Source organism: Homo sapiens, chromosome 15 (assembly GCF_000001405.40).
Source record: "Homo sapiens chromosome 15, GRCh38.p14 Primary Assembly".
In the NCBI taxonomy this organism is placed as follows: domain Eukaryota; kingdom Metazoa; phylum Chordata; class Mammalia; order Primates; family Hominidae; genus Homo; species Homo sapiens.
The window spans coordinates 97,328,409-97,343,862 of NC_000015.10; the positions used below are offsets into that span (position 1 = coordinate 97,328,409).

Below are 15,454 nucleotides of genomic sequence, written 5' to 3' on the forward strand. Positions count from 1 at the left end.
TTGAACTATCCAAGGTGGTGATTCCCATTTCATCCCCTTCAACTCAGCTTCATGATGCCTCTGTCCTATACAGCTTCACGGTGTCTTCTGAGGCATCATCGTTGATCAGAAGCAATGCCTTGGAATATATCTGGGGTGTGTGTGTGTGTGTGTGTGTGTGTGTGTGTGTGTGTGTGTAGAAAGAGAGAGTGAAAAAAGTCATATTCATTAACTCACTAGTCTTAACCATGTTTTTCATCACACTGAAACAGGTGGCCTATTACCATAGTGAGGTGGACTTTTGAGGCAAGGTAGGCAGCATCACCAAGCCTAGGATAATGTTGTCCACAACGTGTTTGATGGTCTACATCACTGGTCAACATATAATATTGTTTCTGACATAGCAAAGGCTCATGGATTTGGGAATCAAGGGATGGAACAGGGCTCTTCTTTTACTGTCAATGATACATTTCTGGACTCAGCTCACATATTAGGAAGGATGGAAAAATCATCTTTTGAAACTTGCTAAAGATTATTGCACTTCTTAACTTGGAATCTACAGATGGAATTTAGGAGTTTAATGCGCCCTCTAAATAGTATGTAAAATGTTACATGTATATGCATATATGATTTTTTTTTTTTGAGAGGGAGTCTCACACTGTCATCCAGGCTGGAGTGCAGTGACGCGATCTTGGCTCACTGCAAGCTCCATCTCCTGGGTTCACGCCATTCTCCTGCCTCAGCCTCCCAAGTAGCTGGGACTACAGGCACCCGCCACCACGCCCAGCTAATTTTTTGTATTTTTAGTAGAGACGGGGTTTCACTGTGTTAGCCAGGATGGTCTCGATCTCCTGACCTCGTGATCTGCCCGCCTTGGCCTCCCAAAGTGCTGGGATTACAGGCGTGAGCCACCACACCCAGCCTTATGTATATATGATTTTTATGAGGAGAAGGTCTATATCATTTATCACGTTTCCAGTGGCTCATAACTTAAGAGTTTTATAACCAGGGCCCCACCTGAAACTGTATTTAACACCAGAGCAAGTAGATGAGGTGAATGACTATTTGGGGGTCACCATTTTTATCCTTAAGCTATGGCCTCCCCAAATTATTATTGCCCATTGTTCAATTATAATGACTTTAAGCATTTTAACCACCACTGTTACTAAAATGAGCTTAATTTTTATTTGTAACCCAGAAGTATACACGTAATTTAATCTTATTAGAGAACCACAAGTATTAGGACATGGTATGAAATAAAATGTATCAAGTAAAGCTTATCCCAGATTCATAGAAAAATGAAGATAAATGCAGACACATTGAATATTTTCTCATCTTGCTGTTCCCTCTAGATGATTTTATTTACCTTCATGGTTTCGGCTCCAGCTCAAATGCAAGTGACTCCAACACCTGTGGGTTCATGAGGAGTCTCCTTAAATGTCCCCTGACAGGTGAATTGCCATTGACTTTAAGACCTCTGCTGAAAGAAGTGGCCTACACACAAGCAGCTACAGTTAGAAAATAAATCAACATATATTTGTATACACATGCACACGAAGAGTAGGTAGAAATGGTCTTCCAAGGGATGCCCACCGCAGTCCTCCTGATTTAAGAAGTATAGATGTAGAGTTCATAGTAGCCATGTCATCTGCTAAAACATAACTGCCCTTCGGTGCCTTAGTGTAAGAAAACGCTGTGCCCATAGCTTGCTTGTAAGGAAATAACATTTTCTTTTCTTGCAGTGGACTGCATAGGTTTTCTTCCGTTTTCCCACTCCATTCCCTGCATTGCCTCTTCCTTGTTGCTCCACTGTTTCTGAACCACAAAGCAAGTAGGCCATTTACAAAACACCAGCTGATTAGGATGAATCTGCTCTGGGCCCATGCATAAAAAACTTGAAAGTAGAAAAAAAAATTGAAAAGGATAAGAGCTTTTCAATCAATTTGATAAAAAATTTAAGTTAATTAAAGGAAGACTCTATTTTTCCCTAGAAGGCGATGCTGATCTTTATTATTAATGCATACCAGCATTCCATAGCTGTGCATAATGATGGCCTGTAACATCAGGAGCAGTTTCATCTGGAGCCTAATTTGTCATAAAATCTTTTCTAGTATTCTTAAAGTGTGGCCTCTGCCACTGCCTCCCTCCCGCTCCAGGGTTAGTTCTGAACTCTGAGATAATGTCTTCCTTGCTGCCATCACCTGAGAATTAATTTGCAAGATTGTTTTTAGTTTTAAAGTAGTTTTCCAACCTTCCAAAAAAATCATTTATAGGATTTTCACTTTGCTTTCATTTTTTCTTTAGATTCTATTAATAGAAACCCTTGTCAAAACATCATACACATGCAATATTCTTTTCTGTAAGAACAGCCCTAGCAGAGAGGGAGGAAAGAGAAAGGAGATTAAAAGGTGCCACATTTGAATTCAGATATTGCTGTTTTAGAAGATTAAAATATTTCTCCAAACAGGAGTATCAAGTTTAATTGAGTCATTCATTCCTACATTCATTCATCTGGATACACGTGAATTGAGCACTTCCTATATGCCAGGCACTGTATTAGACATTGGGAAGACAAATATGCTTCATGTAGTTTTGCAGCTAAGGGGATTAATGTATTTCATAACCTTATACTTATTGTCCTAGATACCATGAGGGTAAAAAAAATTAAGTTACACTTCCAAGTTTCAAGGGATTACTATTTCATACAAACATACCAATTAGAGCCTAACATAAAACATTGTTCCAGCCTGTGTGTAAGTAAGAGGTGTCAGATGTGAAAGCCCATGTGGGTCACAGGGTTCGGAGGAGACTCTGTGAGGGAGGTGGATCCAAGAAGGGTGGACTGAAATCATGGCGCATTAATACTGTATAATATTGTGCAGCTAGTTTAACAAATGAGTTAGATTAATAAGTATTCATGATAAACTACTGAGTATGAAAAACAAAGTTCCAGAAAAACAGACATATTGTAATTCATTATTTGTAAAAATAAAAATAAAAAACTTCTAAAAAATTAGAATGATGGGCTGAATTTGGATAGGCAGTGAGAAGGAAGGGACATGAAAACATGACAGACAGTAAACATTTTTTACAGCCATATAGTGTCCAGGGACAGGGAAGAGAGTGGCTGTCTGTGGCATATATGGGGTAACCATTTCAAGAGAGAAATAAGACAATGTGGGAAGAGATTTATGCTCTGTTTTATAATCTGAAAACCAAGAGCTGCAATCAATGTAGCTATCTTTTCTTGAAAAAGGCCAATAGGTAGGCCCCAGCACCGATTCAGGACAGATGGTGACATGGTTTGGCTATGTCCCCGCTCAAATCTCATCTTGGATTGTAATTCCCATAATCCCCACATGTCATGGGAGGGAGTCAATGGAGGGTAATGGAATCGTGGGGACAGTTTCCCTCATGCCGTTCTCGTCATAGTGAGTTCTCAAGAGATCTGATGGTTTTATAAACGTCTGGCATTTCCTCTGCTGGCACTTTTTCTCCAGTCGCCCTGTGAAGAGGTGTCTTGTGCCATGATTGCAAGTTTACTGAGGCCTTCCAAACCATGCAGAACTGTGAGTCAATTAAACCTCTTTTCTTTATAGGTTACTTGGTCTTGGGTATTCCTTCATAGCAGTGGTGAGACTGAAATAATACAGTAAATTGGTATGGGCAGTGGGGCACTGCTGTAAAAATACCCAAAAATGTGGAAGTGACTTTGGAACTAGGTAACAGGCAGAGGTTGAAACAGTTTGGAGGGATCAGAAGAAGACAGGAAAATGTGGGAAACTTTGAAACTTCCTAGAGACTTGGAGGGCTCAGAAGACAGGAAGATATGGGAAAGTTTGGAACTTCCTAGAGACTTGTTGAATGGTTTCGACCAAAATGCTGATAGCGTTATGGACAATGAAGTCCAAGCTGAGGTGGTCTCAGATGGAGATGAGGATCGTGTTGGGAACTGGAGCAAAGGTGACACTTGCAATGTGTTAGTAAAGAGACTGGCAGCATTTTGCCCTTGCCCTAGAGATCTTTGGAACTTTGAACTTAAGAGAGATATTTAGGGTATCTGGTGGAAGAAATTTCTAAGCAAAGCATTCAAGAGGAAGCAGAGCATAAAAGTTTGAAAAATTTACAGCCTGACAATGCAATAGAAAAGAAAAACCCATTTTCTGGGAAGAAATTTAAGCCTGCTGCAAAAATTTGCATAAGTAAGAGTAGCTGAATGTTATTCACCAAGAAAATGAACAAAATGTCTCCAGGACATGTCAGAGACCTTCACAGCAGCCCCTCCAATCAGCCCTTCCCAGGGGGCTAGAAGGAACAAATGGTCCCCCTGCTGTGTGCAGCCTAGGGACTTGGAGCCCTACATCCTAGCCGCTTCAGCCATGGCTAAAAGGGACCAAGGTACAGCTCAGGCAGTGGTTTCAGAGGGTGTAAGCCCCAAACCTTGGCAGCTTCCACATGGTGTTGAGCCCATGGGTGCACAGAAGTCAAGAATTGAGGTTTGGGAACCTCCACCTGGATTTCAGAGGGTATATGGAAACACCTGGATGTTCAGGTAGAAATTTGATGCAGGGGTGGAGCCCTCATGGAGAACAGAACCTCTACTAGGGCAGCGTAGAAGGGAAATGTGGATTTGGAGTTCCCCCTGGAGCACTGCCTTGTGTAGCTGTGAGAAGAGGGCCACTGTCCTCCAGAACCAATAATTGTAGATCCACCGACAGCTTGCACTGTGTGCCTGGAGAAGCTGCAGACATTCAGTGCCAGCCCATGAAAAACAGCTAGGAAACGAGTTGTACCCTGCAAAGCCACAGGTCATGGGAGATCACCTCTTGCATCACTTTGACCTGGATATGAGACATGGAGTCAAAGGAGATTATTTCAGAGCGTTAAGATTTAATTACTGCCTCAATGGATTTCGAACTTGCATGGGACCTTTGCCCCTTTGTTTTGGCCAATTTCTCCCATTTTTAATGGGTGTATTTACCCAATGCCTGTACCTCTAGTGTATCTAATAAGTAACTAACTTGCTTTTGATTTTACAGGCTGGTAGGCCGAAGGGGCTTGCCTTGTGTCAGATGAGACTTTGGATTTGGACTTTTGGATTAATATTGGAATGACTTACGATTTGGGGAGACTGTTGGGAAGACATAATTGTGTTTTCAAATGTGAGGACATGAGATTTGTGATGGGCCGGGATGGAATTATATGGTTTGACTGTGTCCCCACCCAAATCCCATTTTGAATTGTAATTCCCATAATTCCCACATGTCATGGGAGGGACCTGGTAGTAATTGAATTATTGAGGCAGTTTCCTCATGCTGTTCTGGTGGCAGTGAGTGAGTTCTGACAAGAACTGATGGTTTTATAAGCATCTGGCATTTCCCCTGCTGACACTCATTCTCTCTTCTGCTGCCCTGTGAATAGGTGCCTTCTGCCATGATTGTAAGTTTCATGAGGCCTCCACAGCCATGCAGAACTGTGAGTCTATTAATCCTCTTTTTTTAATAAATTACCCAGTCTTGGGTATTTCTTCACAGCAGCATAAGAATGGATTAATACAGACTGGAAGTGCCCAAGCTAGAAGACTACATACCTCCTTTGTAAAAGAAATTCTAGAGAAAATACTAAGCTACTGAGAAGAAATGAATCCATGGGACAGAGGAGGTTGCTTATGGTCATAGATAACAGGAAGTTATCCAGAGATTGAATACCAAATATCTCTAAAAATATGTCAACATAGTATTCAAAATTCTAAACAGGAAATGTATTCCCATTCTCCAGTAAAAAGCAGAAAAGAGAAGAAAAAAAGATTTAGGAATTGATTTAATGCCCAGACAGAAGCAGGATAGGGGGAGAAAAGAAGAGAAAGAAAAGTGACCAACAAAACTATATCCAGTTTAGAGAAGTGGAAGCAAAAAGGATGTAAAATGAAGACCAAATGAGAATCAAAGAGAAAAACGTTTCCTGTGCTACCCGGCAAGGGAAATGGGCCCTCTTCAAGGCTGAAAGGAGGGAGAGGAGGGGGAGAGCAAACTAGAACTTCTCCCACTCCAGCTTTCTTATCCAATTTATCCTGTGGAGAGAAGATCTACTAATAAAAGAGGAAATTAAATAGCCTGAATCATTAGTTTTCCCCGTACCAGCTCATTGGTGACATAGCCCACTATCTCCAAGTTGGCCAACCCTCAGTAATTCTAACAGTGAGGGTAAGGGGAGTGGAAAGAGATGAACTACAGGTATAAGGATCATTTAGCCAGCAAACTCTTGCTAAAGACTAACAATACAGTAACATTGCACTTTGCCTGTGAATTAGTTCCTAATGTAAATGTCTAATAAGGTGAGAACTATATTAATCAAAATGAGTCCTTGTATGGCTTAGAGTGCAACAGTGTAGACTCACATGTCGTTAAAGAAAAAAAAAAGGAAATCACAATGGCCCTTTCAAGTAAGGTCAGGTGTAGAGAACAAGCTAGCTAAGCCAGCCTGGCAACTCTGTTCCCAGAAATCACTCAGGGATCCAGGTGCTTTTCCTCTTGCAGGTTTTGCATATGATCAAGGCAGGATCAGGAGGTATGGAAGAAAATAAAATTAAGGCAAGTAATATGCAATTTAATCCCTTACTTCCATTTACATATCACTGATGAGATCAGTCAGATGGCTACATTGAGGTGCAATGAATGATGGGAAATACAGCCTCAAGCTGACTGGCTATGGCCACCCTAAGGAGACTGTGGATTAGTAAGAGGGAAAGTTCTAGGTTATTGAGTTCTACTTATATGGAATAAGAGGTGATGGATTTTGAGAGAAAACCAGTCTTCTACTCCAGTCTGCCTTGCATAGCCAATCAAACCATGAATTTCTCTTTAGACATGTATTTACCTTGACCCCAAGGGGAAAACCCAAGGTCTCATTCAGTTACTGCAACCAGTTCAAAGACTCAGGCCACCTGTGGATTATTCTTCACCAAGCCCAGCTGTGATTTGTTGCAGTTTAGTGACCTATAAACTAACAGACAAATAATCTCTCCCTCCCTAATACCCAAAATATAGTGGGGGGAAAAATGAAGAAAACCCCCATTGAGAAAAATGAAAAACACACAGAAGTCAGTGATTCATTGTGATTAGCAAATCCTGCTGGGCAGCATTGCAAATACCCTTGACTTAGCAGCAAAGTTCCTTGATTGGGTCCTGATTCTACTTTCTGGGAGGAACTGTCCTTTCCATTTGGGTTGAAGAGTTCTGGCTTCACCATCTGAGAGGTTTTTCTTTTTCATTACCTTTTAGAAGCACTTCTGAATGGGATGAGGAAAAGTATCCCATTCTTGAAGTTGCAGTTTTGTAACTGTTAAAGATAGAGGATCAGATTGACTTCAGATATTGAAAAATCACACATTTGTAGACTCAGCTTGGAGTCTCTTTGGCAATATAACTTCCTCAGACTTAGTAGGCATTCAGTCTATTTACTTCCAGTGAGCATCAGGTGTAGGTAACCACACTTGAAACTCTCTTCTGGACATAACCTCTGAGGCCTCTGCATTCAGTTCTATTTTCTGGCTTCTGTGCTTGGTCTGTCTCCCTATCTTCCTGTTAATGGCGAATCCTCGAGATCATCTGAAATAGCAACCTTGAGTAAAAAGACAACATCATTTGACTTTTATTTGGACTGACTTCCATTTTCTGGCTGACAAACCTTAATGAGCAATACTTGAAAGAGATCTGGAAGCTTATCACTTGCTGTTTTGGCTACAGTAGCAGTGAGCTGTTTCATCTTAAAAGCCCCCAAAAATCTGGATTCTTATTTGATTTAAGTTTAAGGTATTCGTTAATCCCCAGAGCTCAACGTCATTCCATTTTGCCTGCATATTCTTACTCAGGCTTTCTCTAAGACTTTGCTAGAAGCGGCAAGGAGCATCCAACAGACAAAATCACTGTGAGTTTTTTTCTTTTTTCTTTCTCGTTCTTTCTTTCCCTTCCTTCCCTCCTTCCTTCCTTCCTTCCTTCCCTCTCTTTCTTTCTTTCTTTCTTTCTTTCTTTCTTTCTTTCTTTCTTTCTTTCTTTCTTTCTTTTTCTTTTTCTTTTTATGGAGTTTTGCTTTTGTTGCCCAGGATGGAGTGCAATGGCATGATCTCGGCTCACCGCAACCTCCACCTCCCAGGTTCAAGCGATTCTCCTGCCTCAGCCTCCCAAGTAGCTGGGATTACAGACGTGCACCACCACACCCAGCTAATTTTGTATTTTTAGTAGAGATGGTGTTTCTTCATGTTGGTCAGGCTGGTCTCGAACTCCCGACCTCAGGTGATCCACCCGCCTCAGCCTCCCAAAGTGCTGGGATTACAGGCGTGAGCCACAGTGCCCTGCCCCATTTTGAGTTTTTTTTTTTTAACAATTTTATTTTTAGTTGTCTTGAAAAACTTACCATCTGCCCTAGAAGTTGTAACTAAGTCGTTCGACACTAGCTTCCCAAGCTATGATATCTGTGTTTTTGCCGCTCACCACTAAACAATTAAAATTCCAAACGTTTTTAGATTTTTGTTAAGACAGCACCTTACTTCCTGGTTACAACTTCTCTATTATTTAGGTTATAGCTAATCAGCTGCAAAAAGGAGACAAGATGAAATGGCTCTAATAAGACAAAATTCATTTTTCTGTCAGTGCAGAGGATCTATTCCTTATCTCTCTCTATATAGTAATGTATATATCGTAAATATATGCTCACATATAATGTATATGGTAGTATACAGTACGCAGTTGAGTGTACAGCCCATTATATTTTTATTTTTTAAGAGAGAGAAACGGATACAAATAACAGAGTAATAGAGTGTGTATTCTAGAATTTGCATAAGTTAAATGGTAGTATATTGCTACTAGACCATTGTTTTCTTCTAGACAAATAAATTATTGATATTCCTTTATATGACCTACAATAATTAATAAATCACCAACTTCAATTCTTTTTTCTGGGTTCTTGCCCTTAATTCTGATATCAAACCCCCCCCCTTGTTGTTTTTACATCTGAGATGTCATTTAACAAACATTTTTGGGCTGTAGTTTTCTTGGCTAACAACAAGAATTTGGACTATACTGTCTCTGAATGTCTGCCAGCTATACATCTTGTGTTTTGATTTTATTGGTATCAGAGCTAGCTCTTCTTTTCCTGAGTCTCTGGTTTGTCCTTGCCTTGTAGAACCTATAGATATGGTAAGCAGTGGTGCTTCCTTCTTCCCAAAAGCATCTTATGCTCTGATAATCTGCCCCTCATTTGTTTCTCGGAATGCCTTTCCTTAACCTTTTTACCCGTGGATGCTGAGGACCTAGCAATGAACCAGATCATTTAAGTCTCTTCGTAATGTAGATTAAATTCATAGATCTGCAAGTGGCTTCTGTCAAGTGCATAAGACACCATCAATATATTATGCACAAATAAGATTTTTGTTCCAAATTATTAACCTAGCTTCATTTTCCCTTGCAACTCATTTTATGGGTTTTTAAAAATGCTACTGAATGGTAAAAACTCAGATTGTTTTTTCTCTGCTCTCACCCCACAACAATCAACATAGAAGACTTCTGTGACCAAATATATGTAGGGCTTTCCCCACCAGCAGGCAGCCCATCAGTCTGCACTGGGCACCAGGTGAGTGCCTTCTAATTTAATTCTGACACTGTCTACCTGGAGATTGTGTTAGATCCCACAGGTTGAGGGCCCAGTCCTCAAGACTGCCGCACAATCCCCTCGCTTCCAATGCCCATTGCAAGCCTCAAGTTATTTTGCCTGTGCTTCTGACTGACTGACTTATAAATCAGGATTCCCATGACCCCCTCCTTCAATTCCATTGATTTGCTAAAGTGTTTCACACAACTCAGGGAACTACTGGTTTATTATAAAGGATATAACAAAGGATACAGATGAAGAGATTCATAGGGCGAGGCATGGGAAGGGGCACAGAGCTTCCATGCCCTCTCCAGGCACCACCCTCCCAGTATCTCCACCTGTTTGTCTATCTGAAGCTCCCCAAACTCAGTTTTTTGGGGTTTTATGGAGGCTTCATTCCATAAGCATGATTGATTAAATCATTTAGCATTGATGACCAGTAGACAATGATCAATTCATTGGCCATTGACTATATATGTGGGTGTGGTTTTTTTTTTTTAGAACTTATAAGACCATATTTCAGTATTTTTCGGCCTCCATTTTTTCTAATGGAGAGTAAATTATAGTTTTTTTTCTAAATATGATGACATTTTTCTCAGTCATGTTTAAGATTGAGCCTGCAGCCCCTCTCCCCTCTTTGAAAGTTGGAGTTGAATGTCCCAATCCTCTAGCTCTGCTTAGGTCATTCATTCAGAAGACCAACCCCCATCCTGAAGCTGCCCAGGGACCGCCAGCTGTCAGTCAACTCATTACTGTAAAGAAAACACCACTTTGGAGATTCTAAGGATTTTAGAAATTGTATTGCCAGAAACAGGGTAAAAGGCCAAATATATATTTTACAATATCATAGCTATATAATATATATCTTTGAAATGTTCTTTATATTTTCTTGGGACATTTCACAGATTAATAAATGAATAACAAGCTCACAGAATAATTCAGACGTATACTCAAAAATCTTCATTGATTCCCTGCATCTTGTGTATTTACCATTTCCATTTATACATTTCCAGTGACTTCTTTTTTATTCAACTCTAAATATGCAGTTTTCTATCTGGCATAATTTCCTTTCTGCCTGAAGAGCTTTACTTTTTTTATAGCATAATTCTGCTTGTGACTAATCTCTTAATCTTCTTTGATTTGGAAGTGTATTAATTTTGTTTTTACTCTTAAAAAATATTTTCACTGCCTGTAGATTTCTGGGTTGATATATATATGTATATAAATATATATGTGTGTGTACGTATTTTTTTTTCTTCTAGAACTTTTAAGACAGTATTCCATGATTTTCTAGACTCCAATTTTTCTAATAGAGAGCCAATGATAATTTGTCTTTTTTTCTAAACATGATGACATTTCTCTCAGCCAGGTTTAGGAGTTTGTCTTTTTCTTTGGTTTTCAGCAGTCTAACGCTTATGAGAAAAGATGGGGTATTATTTGTATGTACCCTATATGAGCATCATTGAGCTTATGAAAACTATGACTTTGAGAAATTTTTGGTCATCACTTCCGCAAATACTTTTTCCTACTTAATGGTTTATTTTTGTTTTCTGGGACACCAATAATGTGTACGTTAAAGCTTTTTATATTCCCCCATAGGTTTTGTTACCAAACCAAAGTGGGTCCACTCATCCAGTGGGGTAAAACCAAATATCCACACTGAGGTTTGCCACTGCAGAAAGCAGGGCATTTATTTGCAGGGAACCAGGCAAGGAGAATGGGGCAATGCACACTTTAGACCCATCTTCTCAGTGGCTTGCAAGCAAGGGTCTTTAAAGGTATGGGTAACTTTCAAGAAGGCAGAAGTTACAGGCAAAATCATACCTCAATACATGGAGGTTAGTCATTGCTTTGGTCTAAAAAGGTGGGGTATCTTGAAGCGGAGGCTTACAGGTCATAAGTAGATTCCAAGATTTTCTGATTTGCAGTTGGTTAAGGAAGAGTAGTTTTGTTTAAAAATTTTGGGACAGCAGAAAGATATGTAAGTTCTGGCTTATAAACGTGACTTCTTCCAGGAACCTTAGGAAGACCTTTAGAAAAATTTAGTCCTCAGTTCCCCCTTATCACTCCTGTTTCTGAAAAACAAACAAAACGAAACAACAACAACAAAACAGGTGGGACATATGTTAAGATATTATTTTTAGTTTCTATCAAGAACCAAACATCTCATGACTCTAACTTCCTTGGCTTTTGTTTTAAGTTATTATTACTTTCTTGCTTATCAGGTTGCTCATTTACTTCTCAAGGCTTGCTGGGTGCCTGGAATTTCCCTTGAAGGAACTCAACATTCTCCATTATTTCTGTGCTGGGGACATGGGTTTTGGGGTAGAATGTTGGGAAGGGTGCCCAGTAGGCTCCTAAGGGGGTTCCTACTCCTTTTCAATTTCTGAAGCTTTGTTCATTTTTTTTTCAGTATCAGCTGTATCTTTAGATTGAATACCTCCCACTGATTTATCTTCACATTCACTGAATTCCTTCTGTCATCTCCATTTTTCTATTAAATCCATTCCACTCTAGTAATTTTCTTTACATATTTCAGATATTTACTTTTTTATTTCTAGGACTTATCTGCTGAGATTCACTATCGTTTAGCTTATTATAAGCATATTTTCTTTAACTTTATTCAGCATAGTTATGAAAACTGCTTTAGAATTTGTGTCTGCTAATTCCAACATCTGGGTCACCTGGGAATTGGAAACCGATCATTTTCTTTTCTATTTAAAATAGGTATTATAAGCCTATTTCTTTTTATGTGAAATATCTTATTCTGAATATATTAAATAACATGTTGTAGAGATTCTGGATTCTGTTATGTTCTTTCAAAGAATGCTGAGTATTTTTAAAGCTGTTAGTTAACTTGGCTGAACTTAAACTAGAAACTCTGTCTGCCTTGCGTTTGATAGTCTGTTCTCAGGCTTGTTCCTTAACTTTAGCTGTGCTGCTTGGAATTCACTTTGTACAGGCATAATTCAGGATTCATTCAGATATTGGGGCAGAGTTGATTCATGGAACTTGGGGATTTCTGTCTCTTGTTTTATCCTTTCCAGGATTTCTCCCCACTTTCTGTTGGCTGTAGTTGTCCTAAGCTCAATCCTCTCATTCTTCAGACTAGTAATACTGTAGGCTTCTTATTGGAGTTTTACATACTTGATGTGATATGCAGTCTGGGACTTGCCTTCTATAAAATAATCTCTGAAAATGGGATATTCATAGAGAACTATTCCCTTTTTTAAGTGACAATTCTTCTCCAGCATCTGCCTCTATTATTCACTGCCCAGTGTATTTGGGTAGTTGCTTTTCATATTTTTTTTCCAGAGTTGATGATTATTTTCTCTGAGTTTGTCTTAATAAGAGCTATTTGCTATTACTGGATGCAATTCTCACATATCCACTCCCATCATTTGCATATAAGTTAATGGCTACATTGCTCACTCTGGCATTCCATACTCTGCACAATATGGCCCTAACTTCATTTTTAACCTTCATTTTACACTTCCCCCTTATATAACTACCTCCTTACATATTGGAATCTGCTATGTCTCACTCAGTCATTGAGCAAGAGGTTTTTGAGTTCTTTCTATGTATCAGGCAGCTGAGAATAAAACCAGTATTTTCCTTGCTGCCTTGGAGCTGATAGCCTGAGACTTCCGACTGTGCTAGATGATTACTGCCCTGAACATTTTCTTATGCTCATTTACCTCCCCTCTATTTTAATTTCCTCATATTATCTTCTATCCTTTCTACCTATCAACGCTATCATCCCCAAATTCTGTTTCATCACACCCTATAGAAACTATATTTATTACATTTTCTTCTTTCAGTGTGGAAACTAAAGAATGTTATGGATTTAGTGCACTTTTATTGTGCTACAATGTTCCTCCCACTGTGGGTGTACAGAAATGCTTAGTGCATGAATTAGTTAAGCCGTTGACTGCCTCCTTATTTAATTTATAATTTATAATTTTATAATTTTTAATTTATAATTATTTAGTGAATGTTAGTTGCTGATAGAACAAGTGATTAAAGGCCATAACATTTCAATCCATAAAGGAAACTGGACTTTAAAATAACTTTCAAAACATTTTGATGTTTTCATGCATTGAAAATGTCTTACCTGCATTCTTTCCATACTAATATGAACCATCAGCACCTCAAGGATGAAATCATCAGCATTTTACATTGATGTTTCACTCTTAATTAAATTGTTTGATTCCCTCTATCATGATGATGTTTGAAATGCTTTTGCAGTAACTTTCATGTTCTTTCAACCCAGGAGTAAATAAGGAGAATCTGAAGGTCAAGGAGGAACATTCTCTTTATTTTAACTCTTTGCATGTCTCATTTTATCTCTTCTCCCACCTGCCAACCAAGAGTGGCCTCACAGGTTAGTGGGGCAGTGGAGCTATTCATGTCATGTAGAATGGTTCAAATTCAACAGAGGTCCAGAGAACAGTTTTTGATACTTGAAACCCTGTCTTTACTTAAAATTTATTGCATATGCATTAGTACCATTCTCTTAAAAAAAAAAAAAAAAAAAAGAGAAACACATATGTTCATGTTCAGATAAAAACTAAATCACTGTTATCTATCCTATGGGATTCTGTCTCCTGAGCCACAAATCTGAAAGCTGACAAAGGTTTCTATACCACTGTTGAGTGTAAAAGGATGTCTGTGAAATAGAGGTTATGTAATGAAATGCCAGAATTTCAGAATAGTCCAACGACTAACAGAGCTAGAATCAGAATCAGAACTGCCTAGAAACATCCAAAGCACGAGACCCTCGCAGATGATTCATTTTAATACAGAAGTGATGGTCTCTATCTAGTGCACTCTCAGGATTTGGAATTTCTTGATAGCAAGTTTGTATCTTATTTTGGATCTATCATTGCACATTGTGCAACCTTGAAAGCATATGGAAAGGGCTGACATTCAACTCCAATATGGCCAAAACAATGGTGTAGCTACTATCTGTTCTGATTGCCAGTGTCTATACCATAGCAATTGCTAAATATTTTTATAACATATTCTCTCTCTCTTTTTTTTTTTTAACGGAGTCTCGCACACAAAGGAGATGAGTGTTTTATATTTTAGTGTGCTGATTGATTTTGACAGATTTTCCTTTGAGGAAATAAAAACTTTACAGAAATGAGATAAGATTATATATTTTAGCACACCAAATGAATGTTTCTTCTAGATTTTATAGGGAGTTGATAGGTAGTATGTATATATGCACGCATATATACATATTGATGTATATATACATATAAGTATAAATATAAATATGTCATATACATACCAGAACAAACATATATGTATATGATACATATGTGTTCTAGAGTGTATATATACATATATCATACATATAAATGTTTATGTATACATACGGATACATACTATATATCACCTCTCTACTGGGTTTATGTGCTCTTGTTCACACAAATAATTTTCAGAATTTTTTTTCTGATACACAACCATGTGTGTACTTGTGACTCTAGTTCATTTTCATGGTTAAAAACATCCTATTCTGTGAACCCACCACAACTTTTTCAGTTTTCTGCTGATGAATGTGTATTGTTTTCAATGTTATTATTTTATAAGCAGTGCTTCACTGAGCTTTCTTTGTTATGCCTGCTATTAATAGTATATATATATGCAAAAGTTTATTTAGCATATGTACTGAGGAACAAAATTGCTAGGTGATAAAATATAGGCATCTTCAACTTTACTGGATATTGACCAATCATTTTTCAAATAGTTTAAATCAATTTATGTCACCAGCAATGGGTAACAGTTCTTTTGTTCCACATCCTTGTTAACACTTGACATTGTC

The 15,454-nt window shown here is 38.5% G+C and overlaps 1 long non-coding RNA gene across 4 annotated transcripts in view; it reads left to right on the plus strand.

Moving 5' to 3' along the window:
* The window catches only part of LINC02253 (long intergenic non-protein coding RNA 2253), a 197,799-nt gene that overhangs the window by 94,117 nt on the left and 88,228 nt on the right, over positions 1–15,454 (plus strand). Inside the window, exon 4 of one of the 4 annotated variants that reach the window (NR_183855.1) lies at positions 5,401–5,454. The exons of the other annotated variants lie outside the window; for them this stretch is intronic. This is a non-coding gene — a long non-coding RNA (long intergenic non-protein coding RNA 2253). The remainder of the gene's footprint in view (positions 1–5,400; positions 5,455–15,454) is intronic. 4 annotated transcript variants of the gene reach the window in all.